Source organism: Homo sapiens, chromosome 14, assembly GCF_000001405.40.
Source record: "Homo sapiens chromosome 14, GRCh38.p14 Primary Assembly".
Lineage (NCBI taxonomy): Eukaryota > Metazoa > Chordata > Mammalia > Primates > Hominidae > Homo > Homo sapiens.
Genome location: NC_000014.9, coordinates 68,500,891 through 68,515,875, shown reverse-complemented (window position 1 = coordinate 68,515,875; position 14,985 = coordinate 68,500,891). Strand labels below are relative to the sequence as shown.

Here is a 14,985-nt window from a genome sequence, read left to right as displayed (position 1 = left end):
AGGCAGAGCTTGCAGTGAGCCGAGATCATGCCACTGCACTCCAGCACTCCAGCCTGGGCGACAGAGTGAGACTCTGTCTCAAAAAAAAAAAAAAAAAGAAAAGAAAAGAAAGAAAGAAAGAAAGAAATTGGTTCACCTGGGTGGCTCATACCTGTAATCCCATCACTTTGGGAGGCTGAGGTGAGATGATCATTTGAGGCCAGGAGTTTAAAACAAGCCTGGGCAACATAGCGAGACCCCATCTCTAAAAGAAAAAAAAAAAAGCCAGGAATGGTGGTGCACACCTGTAGTCCTAGCAACTTGAGAGACTGAGGCTGAAAGATCACTTAATCCCAGGAGGTTGAGGCTACAGTGAATTGTGATTGCACCACTGCACTCCAGCCTGGATGACAGAGGGAGACCCTATCTCTCTAAAAAAAAAAAAAAAAAAAAGAAGAAGAAGAAGAAAGGAAGAAAAGAAATTATTGGTCCATATGTCTGAAATGTCTTTGCTGTCTATCTTTGTCCCGTTGCTCATAGTTAGACCATCATTTAGGCAACTTCTTGCTCACTTACCCTCCACAAGCTTGGACACAGGTCCTTCTAGCTCTGTTTCTTCTGAACTTGAGATTACTGGAGACTCCCTTATGAGTTTTAACACTCCCCATAACCTTTGTATGATTTGTACATAGAAAATACCCCCAAAATTAAAAATAAATTATTAAACTAAAGGAAAGGTTAGTAAGATTGCTGGACATAAAATTAATATTTGAAAATAAATTATATTCCAATAAGATACACAAATGGCCAACAAGCACATAAGAAATATCTTTAGTATCACCTGCTCTCTGCAGCTCCCAGGCACACCTCCCCAGGAGCAGAGGTTTTCTGGGCTAGGTCAGGCCCTCCCATTACCTGCTTTGTAGAAGACAGGGAAGAAAATCACTCACTGTATGTAATTTTATTTAAGAGAGTGCAAGAATGTCGTGTTTGAGCCTTTCACTCTTTTTTCTTTGTATTTCTTATCGGAAATGAAAGAAAACAGCCAGTGAGATAGGATCTCAGGTCTAGAATTCCTAGCAGGTAATTTGGGAGTTGAAAACAAATCTCCCCTGAAATGCATTAAGCAGGTGAAGGGGATTCCAGTTTCAACTCTGAAACCACACCTTATCCTGGCCTGGCAAATAACTTCCTTCCAGCCCCAGGCAAATCCCAACTTCCACCCGCCAAATGCCTGCAGTTAATAAACGTTTAAGCAACAACAAAAACCCCAAGTGGAAAATGGAAGACTGATTCGAGGCTGAGATACTAGAAGGGCTGCCTGGGAGCCCCTCTCTGAGAGCCGCGCCCACAGGAGGAACTTTTAGCCAGGGAAGCCGGGGCCTGGAGCTGGGGAACCCAAGGCATGATGTCTTTCAGAGCGTCAGAGCAGGGTAAATATCTGATTTGAGTCAAATGATTATTTTTCTTGATCAGATTTGTCCACTTGTTTCATTGGAACTCCATACCACTAGCCATGGTCAAACCCTTCAAAATGGCCAAAATCTCCAGACTGCATTATTGGGCCACAGTAGGTCCTGCTTCCTGCTAAGTGCTGCAAGACTGGAGTTTCCAAGCTCTGGTCTAGATAGGTCAGCTGAGGGTTGGTAAGGAAGTTCTCATGGGTCCAGAGAGAACTAAGAAAAAAAGGATCATGTTATGCTGTGGAAATGTGCTCCGCGGTAATTTTTATTCCCATTTTACATATCAGAAAACAGAGGCTCAGAGACGTTGAATGACTTGCCACATAGCTAGTCAGTAGCAGAGCGAGGATGGAGATTCACATGATCAATCACAGTGACCACCGTTTGCTGAGCACCTGTAGTGAGACAGGCAAACACCTTGTGCTTTGTGTGTGTTAACTTGTTCAGTTCTCGTGGATTGCTTCCTTTTTAAAGAAATGAAACTGTTCAACAGAGCTTCCTGCCATAAGGGAAATCTTCTACATCTCACGTCCAATAGATAGCCACAAGCCCCATGTTGCTATTCAGCCCTTGAAATGTGGTAAGTGAAACTGAGGAACAAAATTTTAAAATTTTATTTCACTTAAATTGATTTAAATGTGAACAGCCACATGTGGCTGGCAGCTCTGGGAGGTTCAGTAGCTTTTCCAAAAGCCAGCGAAGTGATGAGGTGAGGGTTGTGTTGTGGGGCTGATTGAGCCCCAAATCCATGTGTTTCCCCCTTTCTCTCTGCTCCCCTGTGAGGTGGCCTGCCTTTTCCAAAGTAAAAGACACTGGGAAGGAAACTGACCAGACAGTATACAGTCAGCCAAAAATAAAGCCAGACCCCAAAGGTGGGGTCTGTATTTGAGTCTGCTTCTTCCGAATGTGTCTGGAAGCCCCCATGGGTGGCCAAACAGCCCAGCTGGGGGCTTCAGACCCTGCACCAGTAACTTCCCAGAGCCCACCATGGCCCATTTGGCTGGGGCTTATATGACTCACAGGTTCCAACCCTACAATTTAAACTGCAGCATTTCCTTTTTCTGGGCTTAACACTAATTGGTAGAGGTAGTGAGCTCCCAGGCCCAGCCTCACCCTGTCGAAACATGTAGCTCTCAACAGTTCCCACTGGAAGCACCACCCATGAGGTGCAGCTACCATTGCCATGTGTCTGAATGCCAGTGTTTAACCCAAGCTGGCCCATTGTTGTTCCATGAGCCTCTCTATAGCCTCTGAATGTTCATCTTTGCTGCATCACTCTCCTCCAAAACCTCCAAGGACATCCTGTGAAGCTCAGAACAAAACCCAAAGTCACCACTTCCATGGCTGGCCCCTGCCCACTGCTCTGACCTAATGTATCACAGTTGTCCCCTTTTTTCACTCTACTCCAGTCTCTGGCTTCCTTACTGTTCCCCAAACACATCACACTTGTTCCTATTCCAGGCCTTTGCACTTGCTATTCCTTCTGCTTGAAATGTTCTTTCTGGATTGAACATTGCTTACTCTCTCTTCATCCAATCTCTGCTCAAATGTCACCTCTTCAGAGAGGTCTTCCTGACCCCACTGTGTGTAAAATAGTGCACCCCTCACTGCCATCTCTTAACCTGCTTCCTTTCTCAAGGCATTTATCACTAGTATGTATGTTTGTTGGTTTGTTTGCTTACTGTCATCCATACTAAGATGCAAACAGGGTAAGAAGGAACAGTGTCCTTTTTTTAACCCTGTATCTCCAGTTTCTAGAAGAGAGGCTGCCACATGGGTGCTCACTGAATATTTGTTGAGTGAATAAATGAATGCATGCATGCATGACTGCTCACCTAGAGTGTGGGGGCCAGGGCAGAGGTGGGCTTAGGCTGTCTCACTCTACACAGACCCGCACTTCCATGATTTGGATGCTGAACCATGAGAAACAAAGAGATTTGCTGGTTTAATTTCTTTTGCCCTGGGAAAGTTAAAGATCACAGATAATCCAGAACTCAGTGCCAAGTTCTCTGATTTATAATCGAGGAATTATCCACATAGAGGTAAACAAGAGCAAAGGACTGACAAGCAAACCGTAGGAGGAGAATGATGAGAAACAGACGGAGAGACCCATGCAATCTGCAGCCTCCAGCTAGTCTGGGTTCCCGCCAGCCCTCACTCAAATTTGGATCCAGAGAATCTCTGCTGATGTTCACTTCCAGATTCCTTTGGGCCACACTGCCAGGTGGCTGTTGGGAGTGGGGGTCACTGCAAGTGGGGGCAGCCTAGGCAAGTCACCCCTTTATCTGACAATGATATTTCGCACTCATCTGAAAGGCACACTCAAGAGGGCAGGCGTTTCCCAAAGATGCCCCAGGCTCACAAAAGTCACCAGACTTTCCCCAAACCTAGATTTTGGGGGGAAAAGTCCTTTCCTTCTTTAATGTAGTCCACAGAAATGTGTCTGTTTTATTCCACCTCTAGAAACTTCAAAGAAACAAAATTAGCAGTGCCTAGAAGCATCTGACACATAGGAGGTAGTAAAAACTGAATGAATGAATGAATGAATGAATGAATTACAATATCAACCCAAAAGGGGAACAGTGGCCTTGTGAAGAATGAGATAGTCAAGCAAATCCTGGACTCCCTATGCCCCCTAGATCACTTTGGATATGCCCTGAGGCCTCAGTTTCCCTATCTGTAAAATGAAAGCCTGGCCTAGCTGAACTCCAATTTCCCTCTCAGCTCCAACACTCTCTAATTCTCTGAACACGCCTTAATAGCTTCTTTATTGTAGACTAGTTCTTACATGTGTCCTGCTGAGAGCAAGGTCTGCTGGTCTGGCCTTGTTTTTAAACAGCAGAGGTTATTTAATAGCAATTCTCCCAGAATATTTTTCATGTTTTCCATGAAAGAAGGTTCTGGAAGGTAGCCATCATCAAAATAGGAAGTAAAGCCAGGTTAGTGTTCCACTTATCAGATAATACGGGCTTAACCAAAATTCCTGTCACCCCCTAGGGTGATTCTGGGAGCTTGACCAGATTTCAGAGGTTTCATATTCAAAGCAGTGAGAAATCATCTCTGAGGCTTGTGGGATTTGGTACCTGTTTCCCTTCTTTCCATGTCTCAGGGCTGTGGGTGCCAAGTGAAGGCTGCAGTAACCCTTCCAGCCTCAGAGAAGCGCTCTGTCCTGTAGGCCATGAGAATGCCCAGGCTGGCCCGGATCATTCCTCTGTCCACTTCAGCATTTCACTTTATGCTGCCTGTAAATCTGACCATTTCTTCCACTCCTAGAGGTGTCCCAAAGCACTAGTTCAGCAGAATTCAGACTCCTTTACCTTTCCCAACTCTACTCACAGCCTCAAGTCACCAGGGAGAGAAAGAGCACCTGACCGAGAGTGGGACCAGGATTCCAGACCAGCTTTAGATGAGCATCTCTCTGGGCCTCAGTGTCCTTGGATGGGAGGGAGGTGGAGACTGGGTGTGGCTGCTTGTCCTGTCCCTTCCAGTTTGATGATTTTCCCTAGCCCAGAGCCAGAGCTGGCCCTTTTCCCTCAAGGAAGCCATGGTTTGTATGCTATGTAGCAGCTACAAATGCAGGGGCTTTTTTATCCCTTTTCTTTTCAATGATCCTAGGTACTATAGGAAGAGGCAAACATTTTTATGATCCCAGGAACCAAATAACATAATGAAAATCATGGCAACCATCAGCCCAATAAAACCCATGGCAAAAGCCTCCACATTCTCAAACAGGACCCTGGGAATTTAAAGCTCTCAGAAGCCTTAAGTGGCTCAGGCCTTGCTGAAGGCCTCGGGACGGCAGCTGATGGCTGATGAAAGGATTTTGACGCGCCACTGAAATTCTCTTTTCCAAAATAACCACTTTGAAACCTGTTAATTACAGACACACAACCAGCCAGAGCCCCCCAACAGGACCCAGGGCTTCTACCAGGGAGAGCCGGGCTCCAGAGGCTGGCCGCTGCCTTGGCGCTCCATACACTTTGTGTTGGGTGACTTCGCTTCAGGAAGAGAATCCAAAGTAATGAAAACCACATGGCCACTCCCCCGCCCCCAGCCTCCTACTCTACCTCCCTTCCCTGGAGACAGAGGCCGGCTCAGTCTAATTTGGTCCAGTGTTTTTGTTTCCTAAAATCTGTCTTGGGCCCTGGGCCATTAATAGGTTGCAGCTGATTTTAATCTGCATGAATCAGAGACCTCACTTCTTCAGTTTTAAGGAGATTACAAATTGTGTGTCCCACAAACTCAGGATGGAGGGAAAAAGCCCTGGATGGGGAGTGGCAGTAGGGGAGACAGATCCTGGAAGGCACAGAAACTGCTCCCCACTCAGCAGTGGGCTTGAAGGAGCCTGGGATCACTCAAAGCTGGGGGAGTGGGGCTAGGGGGAGGTGAGGGTCTTGCAGCTGTGACTCAGTGGCAAGAACACAGAACCTGGTCCTGTGTAAACAGAGCTAAAACCGAGGATCTGGACTATCAGAGGCCTCTACTCACCTATCTTCAACAAATTAATTTCCCAAGTGCTTGCGGGGCACCCCCCATAAGCTAAAGCAGGGGTAAGCAAACCATGGCCGACTGGTCAAATCCGGCCTGCAGCCCGATGTAAATAAAGTCCTCCTGGAACAAGGCCATGTCCATTTGTTTATGTATTGTCCATGGCTGCCTTGCAGTTGTGGTAGAGACCCTGTGGCCTGCAAGGCCAAAAATAGTCACTATCTGCCCCTTTACAGTAAACATTTGCTGACTCCTGAGCTAGAGAACTATCCTAGATCTCGCTAGGCAAGAATTCCACTTACAAGCCTGTTAACAAGGGATGGATTTAGGATTTACTCCATTCCCACCCCATACCAAAGTCTAGGTTCCTTCCTTCCAAACATCATTCTTCAGGAAAGTATCTTCATGCTTATTTAAGCAATGACAATAAGAAGGAATGCCCACAACCATACCACTCAGTGAAGGTTCCAAGTACTTGCCCTGACAACCCGACAGTCCCATTTCACAGATGAAACAGAGTCACTGAGATAAAGCAACTCACTGAAGTTCACTCAGGGAACAGCACAGCTAGGAAGAGCTGGGCCTCTGAGTCACAGCATGGTCCTCTGTCCATGGGATGGCCATAATGAAGGGAGCTGGGGAGCTTTAACATGGCAATGCTCCCTTACGTGTGCCACACGACCACTTGACAACCCAGTGAAGGGCTCAGGGTAGTATGTCTTCATTTTCAAGGTGAAAAACATAGCACTATCAGAGAGTGGGGATGAGAATCAGACAGGCCAGACTACACTCACCCCTTGAAAACCACCTTTATCCAGGCCCAGTGGCTGGTGAGCCCAGGCCCTCTGGCCCTAGCTGGGCCCTCACTCAATCAGGACCCAGGGCCCCCTATTTTCCCAGTGTGCCTCTAAGACAGCTCTTGCCTTCAGGCACTTCTAGGCTAGCGGGGCAGAGACAGAAAGGGGAGGATTATGATTGCATGGCAGGCACAGTGATGGAGAGCCACAAGTGGTGCTTCAGGAGGACAAAGCAGGGTCACCTTGCCCTTCCCTAAAAGCAAACCCCTTTGTAGGGAACCCTGGGTGAAGGGCCTCCAGTGGAAATGCTATTCACTAGAAATGCAAGTGGGCACCCTTCCAAGGCTTTCAGGGGCTAAAAAAGTGTTGGAATCATTCTGGGGACAGGCGGGGAAGCCAAAGAAACTGGTACCCTCTCAGAGATGAGACTGGCAGGTAAACTGATGACACCAAGGAAGCTGCTGCCTTGGAGCAGTAGGAGTTCTCCCCACGGGAACCATTTCCTGCAGGACCAGGCCTGGGGTGGAGACCCTTCCAGACAGGGTAGGAGGTCACCCCAGGCTGCAATCTCAGTGGTCTGGAAGCCCATGAAGGCTGGTTATGTCTGGGCCTTGAATAGAATCATAGACAAGCAGGGTGCCACGCTGGCTTGCGTAGAATGTTGACTCTGCAACGGTCTCTAGCTAACAGGAGCTGAAAGTTCCTACAAAGGATAGCGAGTGGCCTGTACCTCACTGTCTCTATTTCCATTGCTGTCCCCAGGTCCCCGTTCCTTGGTAAGCTTCTCCTTGAACTTTAGGCAGCACCTCAAAGCAGTTTCAGAATTCACTGAGGAGCCATGGGTCCCAGTCTTTAGAGTCCTGCTATTGTTCAGAGGTCTCCAAGTGACTAGATGTTGTGAATTGCCAGAGGGTGGCAGAGGACTCCAACCAAGCAGGGACCAAGTATAAAGCAAACTTCCATCACCATCAACAACTGGAGCCCTGCACTGGACCAGAACAGAGCCTGGGAAATGACCCCATCAGCATCTTTGGGTCCCCTCATCATGGAGACTCCCCTCAGAAATAGTCTTCAGCAGGGTTAAACCCTTGGCCAGATGGAGAAATAGCACGACACCTCTGGCTTCTGCTTCCCAGGGAGCGTGTAGTGGATCCCCTGGCACCCTCTGCTTCCGACGGTACAAAGGTTGTGGGTGTAAACCTCAAAGCTCTGTTTTGTCTAGACTTGGTTTCCGGGTGGGTTCAGGCTCTCTGCTCCATGGAACCCAACAGCCAGGAGATTTGTGCCACTGCTTCCTTGAGTCTAGACTGGCGGAGGAGCAGGGGCTCATGACTATAACATGAACGTGAACCGTGGATCAAAGTGGGTGTTCAAGACAGCTGATTGGACAAGGTCCTGAGCTATGCTGAGGAGTGATGCTGGCACTTTGGTAATGCAGTGGAATGGAATATTCCATGGTTAATTAGCAGTCACTGAGTGTCTATTGTGAGCTGGTCACCATCTGGATGAACAAACTGGCAAGTAGACTCTGAGGAGGTCACGTGCCCAGGAGTTTGTTTAGAGAGTGCAGTTTCTTCTCATATTGAGGTGTGCAGAATGTTCGCTTACAGGTGTGTGATCATGGGGTTGGGTCAAACTCCTCAACTTTCCTATGGAATGCCAGTCCTAGGACCCTCTGCAATCTGAAGCCCTCACACAAAGAACAGAGTATTTATGTCAAACTCTACCCTTCTGTGCTACCAAACAAAGCTGAGCCAGAATAAAGCAAAGTGAAAAAGCTCATAAACACTTCCTGGGGCTGGGCTCACAAAGTAAAGCTCAAAGAAGAACAAGCCAGATGCGTTTCAAACCCATAAACACACACGAGGACACCCGAGCTGCCACTGGCCCGAGCAGATTGGGTGCTAAAACAGCACTGGAGCAATGAAGGAGGGGGTCATTCTAAAATTAGAGCTCTACTTTCTCTCCCCTCTGAACATATATGAGTGGAATTATGGATTAATATTGAAAATTGATTTCATGTGTACTTCAAGAGCACCTGTGCGGTGATGCCCACACTCCCTCCCCACCCCCTCCACATACACACTCTCCCTCAACTCACCCCGGAGACCTAGAGCTTTTGCTACCAAGCACATCTTGTGTCCTGTATAAACAAGGGCTGGTAACTAGTACAGGAAATGAACTTCACAAGCATTGAATGTGTACCCACCTGTGGTATGGGGAGTTGCCAGATTTTTTTCTAACTGAGAATGTTCACAGAATCTCGAAACTTTCTTTCAGCTTCCCCCTCTGCACACTTGAGTGTGGGCGCCTACCATGTGTGCACACATACCCAAGCACAAAATTTCCCTCAATTTCCCCCAAGACATATCAACAATGAGATGTGCCCATACATACACGGGCACACAGCCAGCCATTCCCAAACCTTCTCCTTTGTCCCCCCCACCCGCCTTTCAATGTATAAATGAGAGCGCCTAGGTGTGCTGGTGCTGCCCCTCCCTGCCTCGGACACATGCAGAACTTTGCGCCCACTCAGCACGATCCAGCACACAGGAGCTGGGGAGCCAAGGATGTTTATATTCCCACGTGTGCACCGGCGTGCACGCACACATGCACGCGCACGCACAGCCACATTCCAGCTGGCCCCAGTACAGCTGTGACAGGCCTGGGTCTGTTTGCCATTGTTTTCCTTCGCCTCTAACAGGCGTTCATGCAACAGAGAGGAGGTCGTGAGAGGTTTCCACCACGTTTTGTAGCATTTACCCCGAGCCTGAGTGTTGGGGAGGTGGCTTTTGAGAATGAGCTATGGGTGGCAGGGTGGAAAGCAGAGACAAAGGCATTCCTTCCCATTTCCTGCCTGAGCTTCACTCGCTAATGTGCACTGCTCTGGATTGTTCAGAGATTTCTTTATGTGTCATCCTGTCTGAAACCTGGCTGGGAGGACGGAGGCTCAGCTAAAGAATTTCTGGAAGTTCTGTCTCAAGGTCCTGCTTTGTCACCTCTTATTACTACAACTGTTCTAGGCCCAGGCTGCCTGGGGGCACACTGTGTCCTGAAAGCCTGAGTGGCAGGCCCCAGCCACATAAGCAAAGACACATTTGGGTAGAAACTGAAGGAGATAAAAATGGACCCCAAGTGGCCACTATCCCTCTAGGGATTTTGGCCCACAAGAAAAGCTGGTATATAAAGAATTCCCCACCTGACCCTCAGCAGCAGTGAATGTTCTAATGATTCCCTCAGCAGTACATATGCAAAGTGGATACTGTCTTTGCACTGACAATAAGATTGGCTAATCTGGCTGGGCGCGGTCGCTCACGCCTGTAATCCCAACACTTTGGGAGGCCGAGGCGGGCGGATTTCCTGAGGTTGGGAGTTCGAGACCAGTCTGGCCAACATGGTGAAACCCCATCTCTATTAAAAATACAAAAAAGTTGGCCAGGCATGGTGGTGCATGCCTGTAATCCCAGCTACTCGGGAGGCTGAGGCAGGGGAATTGCTTGAACCAGAGAGGTAGAGGTTGCAGTGAGCCGAGATCATGCCACTGCCCTCCAGCCTGGGCAACGGAGCGAGACTCCGTCTCAAAAAAAAAAAAAAAAAAAAAAGATTGGCTAATCTACAAGTTCATTTGTTATTTCTAAGAGCCAGATGGGACTTAATGCATCTAAGACACTAACAAACCCAGAGTTCTTACTGTGTGGATCTGGACAGAGCGGGCAGCTGACAGATTTCTCACTGTGCCCCACTGAACTGTGGCAAGGGACTGGCTAGAAATACATGTACTTTGTCTGCAGCCATTGCTTGCAAACTACCCCACTCACCTCTGTGGCAGAGTCCTTTCTTCAAATAAAATCTTACTAGAAAGCCCAGTGTACAAAACTGATCAAAACAGTCTCTCTGGTTACAGGGATGAATTAGCTGTGTGTGTGCGGGCATGGGGTGTCCCCATCTGCTCCTGCTCCATCCTCGTGCTCCCTCCATCTATACTTCAGGGAATCTCCGTGGGGTTCCTTGGATCCCAGGTTGAAAACTGTTATCACAATGCAGGCCCCTTCTTGTAACAATTGTCAAACTTCGTACCCAAGAAAACACGTAATGACAAAGAGCTGCTAGGAATTTAACGGCCTTTCAAATTCGCCTGAGTTTTACATACTATGGATTTCAGCTGCTGCCCATGTTTGGTGTGGCACTAAGAGTTATGGACCCCTTGCTGAAACGCCCTGGCCTCTTGCAGGTCTGCAGTTCACAAATTAGGAATAACTGTACAGAAATTAAGAACAAGAAATGAGACTGGGGTCCCAGATGGAGCCACACCATCAAGTGTGTAGATTGGGCTCCAGTGTCTAGTGAAGAAATTTGTGCTTAAATAGTATTTGGCAATGGAGAGCCATTAAAAAGCCATATGCGATTATTACTATTAATTATTTTTTAAGCCAGGAAATGAATGATTGAAAATGAACTAGCAAAAAAAAAAAAAAAAAAAAAAAAAGAAAGAAAAAAAAAGGATTACTCCTTTGCAATTTAAGTTTCCTTTCCCATCTCTAGCTGTCTGAGCTTCCACATCCCAGTCGCAGAGTCCACTGGGAGAGTTTCCCTCCCAAGCATCATGCATGGGCCCAGCCCAGACACATTTCTCCAGTCTTCATGATCAGAGGCACTGATTGTCTGCTGTGGCATTACCTAAAGTGAGTGGTCCAGCTCAGGCTTCGGCACCCTTGTGACTGAGCAAACTCATTGATGTACACAAATGGAAACCATGCCTAAATTAAAGAATGTGCATATGGGTGAACAAAGAGGGGATTTATATGGTGTGCAGGCCAAAGTGGAGGCCTGATTCCTTGGTTTTGCCCACCTTCTTTCCTAGACCTTCAGATCCCCCTACCCCTAAATATGTCAATGAAGTCCTTGGTTTCAGCTGCGGAGTCAGGAAATACAACTGGAGGTAGCATGGGATGCTGGCCTGGAGAGTCATTGCGCCCCGATCCAGCTCTGTACTCTGCTTGCCTTGGGGAGAATTGCTAAAGCTTCTGGTACCGGAATGTGTCCATGCCTAAAACGAAAGGTACTATTAACGTGCATCTACCGACTTCAGAAGGGGCCGTAGGGATGAAGATGTAATTAAAGCCTGTGAGCACTTCGTGCTTCTTGATGAAAGACAACACCACCACCGTGAAGTTTTATTATCTACCGACTCTGTTTTTAAAATGATTCCAATTCCTTTCTGTTTTTCCTTTTGGGGTCTGCATAAACTTTGTTAGCTATTAATTTCAAAAAAGTCCTCCTTGCACCTCAGAGCAGGATTTTATTTAGCGCCTCAGAGAATTTCTTTCCATACTGCAGACCCTCAAAGGATTCCTCTTGGTCAGGGTGGAAGAGGCCTGCGTGTGTTCAGCTGCTGAGTTCAGTTCAATTTAATAAATATTTATGGAACATCTACTAACATCTTCTTAGCCCTGAAAGGCAGGGCAGGGCTGAAACAAGTAGGAAAGGTTGTGAACTTTGGAGCCAGGCTGCCTGAGGGTTGAATTCCAGCTGACACTTCCATATGGGTCCTTGGAGAGCCTCTCGTCACCTCTCTGAATCTCTGTTTGTCACCTGGAAAATGGAGATAACCCCATTCATCTCCCAGGGTAAGGTAATAAAAAGATAGAAATCTAGTGAGTGGTGGGTAGGCGCTCAGTGAGGCCTTGCCGCCTTCTCTGTAGCATCAGCCTCTGGAGGAGGGGGAAGGGAGATGCCTCCTCCTCAGCTGTTTCTCCTCCCTGAGGCCCTCTGTCTACTCCTAAAGGCTTGTCCATCCATTTTGGAAAGAATGTCAGCCGGTTAAACCAGTGCTTCTGAAATGTTCTCATGTCAATTTCTCCCATGCTCCTGGGCGGCTCATTTCCTCCACACACACCCTCCTCCACCAAAATACCTCCAAGGCCTCCCCATCATTACGCCCTCCACCCTCCCTCCAAATCCATTCCCAAGGAGGAGAGAAGAGCTTTCCTATTCTTTTGAGAGAGCACACAGTGGAAGTGGCTTTGCTTTGTTGTCTCCACTTCAGAAAAGATCAAACTGCAGGCTCCATGAAGTGTCAGTCCTCCAAAGGAGCTTCAGGTCAGAGGGAGGAGGGGTGAGGCCAGGCAGGGTAGGCTGAGGCTGTCCCAGAGGGACCAGTCCAGGCAGAACCAACACAGCCTTCCAAGATGCCCTCGCAGGGGCCCACATCACCCTGGATCTAGCCTGAAAGATGCCCCCTAGAATGTTCCCTGGCAGATATGGCTGTCCTGTCTGAGAGAACCACGATAAAGGAGTCCACACAGGATCCTGTCCTTTTCTAAATGAGGATTCTTGTCTCCCAGGTTCCCAGGGAGGACAGCGGATGCAAGGGAGCCCTTGAATAGGCACCGCAGAGGCCAACACACTTTAAATTAAGCTTCCGATGCTTAGAAGGGGCCACAGCTTCCCACAAATCCCCTGGTGCATGCAGCTTTGAGGCAGTGTTCAGTCCGTCTGTTCTTTTAGAAGTGCGCCTTGGAAGCCAGGAGTTATTTGTTTCCGAAAGGTAGGCACTCATCAGGTGGGTGGTCTTTGCATTTTTTGTGTGCTTTGATTCCCTCCCTTTTCTTTTCAGGACTATTGAGGGGTTTATTTTTCCCTCTCCCAGCAGTGCTTGGGGGTTTGGCTGCAATGTGCATCTGTGTTGGGTTTTCCCACAGGGCCCTGCAAAGGCAGCCCTGTTGCCTTCAGAAAGTCCCGGGCGGCCCGTGGGGGGAGTCGGAACTGCAGCTGTGCGCCCCCCTCCCTTCTGCAGCAGGCTTTGATCAGTTTTCGTAGGGGCTGAGTGCAGCCTGACCTCCCATCTCCAGCGTCTCTCAGGTGGAAAGTTCTGTTCAGCCTGTCTGTGGCTTCAAAGGCTCTCCCTCCTTCAGGCTGGGATGAGACTGATAATGGTTCTCATTCTGTTGTCGTGTGATCTCCCAGCAGCCCCCATCTTTCCATTGACAGGCTTTTACTTATTTGGTTGGGCTGCTTTGGCCAAACTCAAACCACCTTTCTGGTTGAGGAAGCACATTGACGTCCCCTCCCATTGAGGCTCCTTTGATGGCTCAGACGTGGCCTTCCAGCCCAGATAAAGGTGACCGGGCTGTGGCAGCCAGGCACCTGGCGAATCAGCATCTGGGCATTGGGCAGGGCAGAGGACTGTGTGAGCCTGCAAGTCTGTGAAGAGGAACACTCGGCTCCGCCCTTTCTACCTTTGAAGGCTAAGGCAAGTCGCTGCTTTCTGCTCTAGTTCCTTGCAGGAATCCAGCAGTGGTGGCCGATGTCACAGCCCACCCCATGCCTGTGCCTGAACCTGGGCTGCACATAGGCAAGGCCAAAGCCCTGACATTGACAACATTTCCAAAGAACTTGAGCCATTCACTATCTTGAGAAGTGGGCACCGGGCCAGCTGAGCTTGGGCAGTTCCTGTTCTGGCCCATTATTTCCAACGGTTGTGGCCTTACAGCCTTAGTTCTCAGTCCAAGGGGTTAACATCAGCTACCTCAGCTGCTCCAGGGCCTACTTCCGGCTCCAGCCTCAAAGTGCTGCTGACCCTGTGCTTGGGCCTTCCAGCCCCCCATGGTGTGTAAAAGGACAGGGCTGGACATCTAAGGTAGCTGTCAGCGAGTTTGCACAGGGGTTGCTGCCTCACCAAAGCTCCATGGGGCCTTGGCTGCAGCTCATCACTCCTCATGATGTGGATGGGGTTAGGCTGCACGTTGCCCTTTGGTTTCCTCATATTTAAAATAAGGTGGCCAAGGGCAACAGGAGCGGTCAGGAGAGCATCCTTCTTCCTCAGTCTGATAGCATAGTCTCTTCCTTCCTTTTGATCATATTCAAAACAACTGCAATAGAACAATAAGTCTGGGAGGAGGCCAGAGGGGGATTTATTATGCTGTTGTGCTGTGGCACAGCCTTGCCTGACTTTATCTTGCACTGAGGTCTGCATGGGAGGAAATCTGCAGGCCTGTGGATTGTCTCTCTGAAGCCGAACTCCCTCCAACCTGAAATCTGGGAGGGCAGGGGAGATGCTGCCATGTTGGCCACACCCCAGCATGAACCATGGCAAGAGGGAAACCAGCCCAGATCTCCCAAAACTCTGAAAACATGACTGTGAGAGGCACAGGGACCCCAAACAGTCAGAGCCCACCTGGGTTTAGCCCTATAAGAGGGGACTCCAGAAACTGAGTTTGCCCCAGGACAGGAGATCCCCAGAGCTCTTCTTAACAGCC

General features: G+C 48.6%; 1 protein-coding gene across 8 annotated transcripts in view, besides 6 other annotated features; it reads right to left on the bottom strand.

The window, feature by feature from the left end:
• RAD51B (RAD51 paralog B) overlaps window positions 1-14,985 on the bottom strand; it is an 863,318-nt gene that overhangs the window by 167,221 nt on the left and 681,112 nt on the right. The gene's annotated exons all lie outside the window — the stretch shown is intronic.
• Window positions 3,210-6,189: an enhancer, noted in NCBI's record as "VISTA enhancer hs1616". NCBI's record gives its function as "enhancer in: limb[6/11] | branchial arch[7/11] | nose[9/11] | facial mesenchyme[9/11]" and the evidence as "EXISTENCE:transgenic organism evidence [ECO:0001131][PMID:17130149]".
• Window positions 8,787-9,350: an enhancer, noted in NCBI's record as "H3K27ac-H3K4me1 hESC enhancer chr14:68973243-68973806 (GRCh37/hg19 assembly coordinates)". NCBI's record gives its function as "activates a minimal SCP1, AML or CMV promoter by ChIP-STARR-seq in primed H9 embryonic stem cells {active_cell/tissue: H9 hESC(primed)}" and the evidence as "EXISTENCE:reporter gene assay evidence [ECO:0000049][PMID:30033119]".
• Window positions 9,351-9,914: an enhancer, noted in NCBI's record as "H3K27ac-H3K4me1 hESC enhancer chr14:68972679-68973242 (GRCh37/hg19 assembly coordinates)". NCBI's record gives its function as "activates a minimal SCP1, AML or CMV promoter by ChIP-STARR-seq in primed H9 embryonic stem cells {active_cell/tissue: H9 hESC(primed)}" and the evidence as "EXISTENCE:reporter gene assay evidence [ECO:0000049][PMID:30033119]".
• Window positions 9,887-9,946: an enhancer, noted in NCBI's record as "active region_8610". NCBI's record gives its function as "activates an Ori minimal core promoter by ATAC-STARR-seq in GM12878 lymphoblastoid cells {active_cell/tissue: GM12878}" and the evidence as "EXISTENCE:reporter gene assay evidence [ECO:0000049][PMID:35858748]".
• Window positions 9,887-10,478: a biological region, named in NCBI's record as "H3K27ac-H3K4me1 hESC enhancer GRCh37_chr14:68972115-68972678".
• Window positions 9,915-10,478: an enhancer, noted in NCBI's record as "H3K27ac-H3K4me1 hESC enhancer chr14:68972115-68972678 (GRCh37/hg19 assembly coordinates)". NCBI's record gives its function as "activates a minimal SCP1, AML or CMV promoter by ChIP-STARR-seq in primed H9 embryonic stem cells {active_cell/tissue: H9 hESC(primed)}" and the evidence as "EXISTENCE:reporter gene assay evidence [ECO:0000049][PMID:30033119]".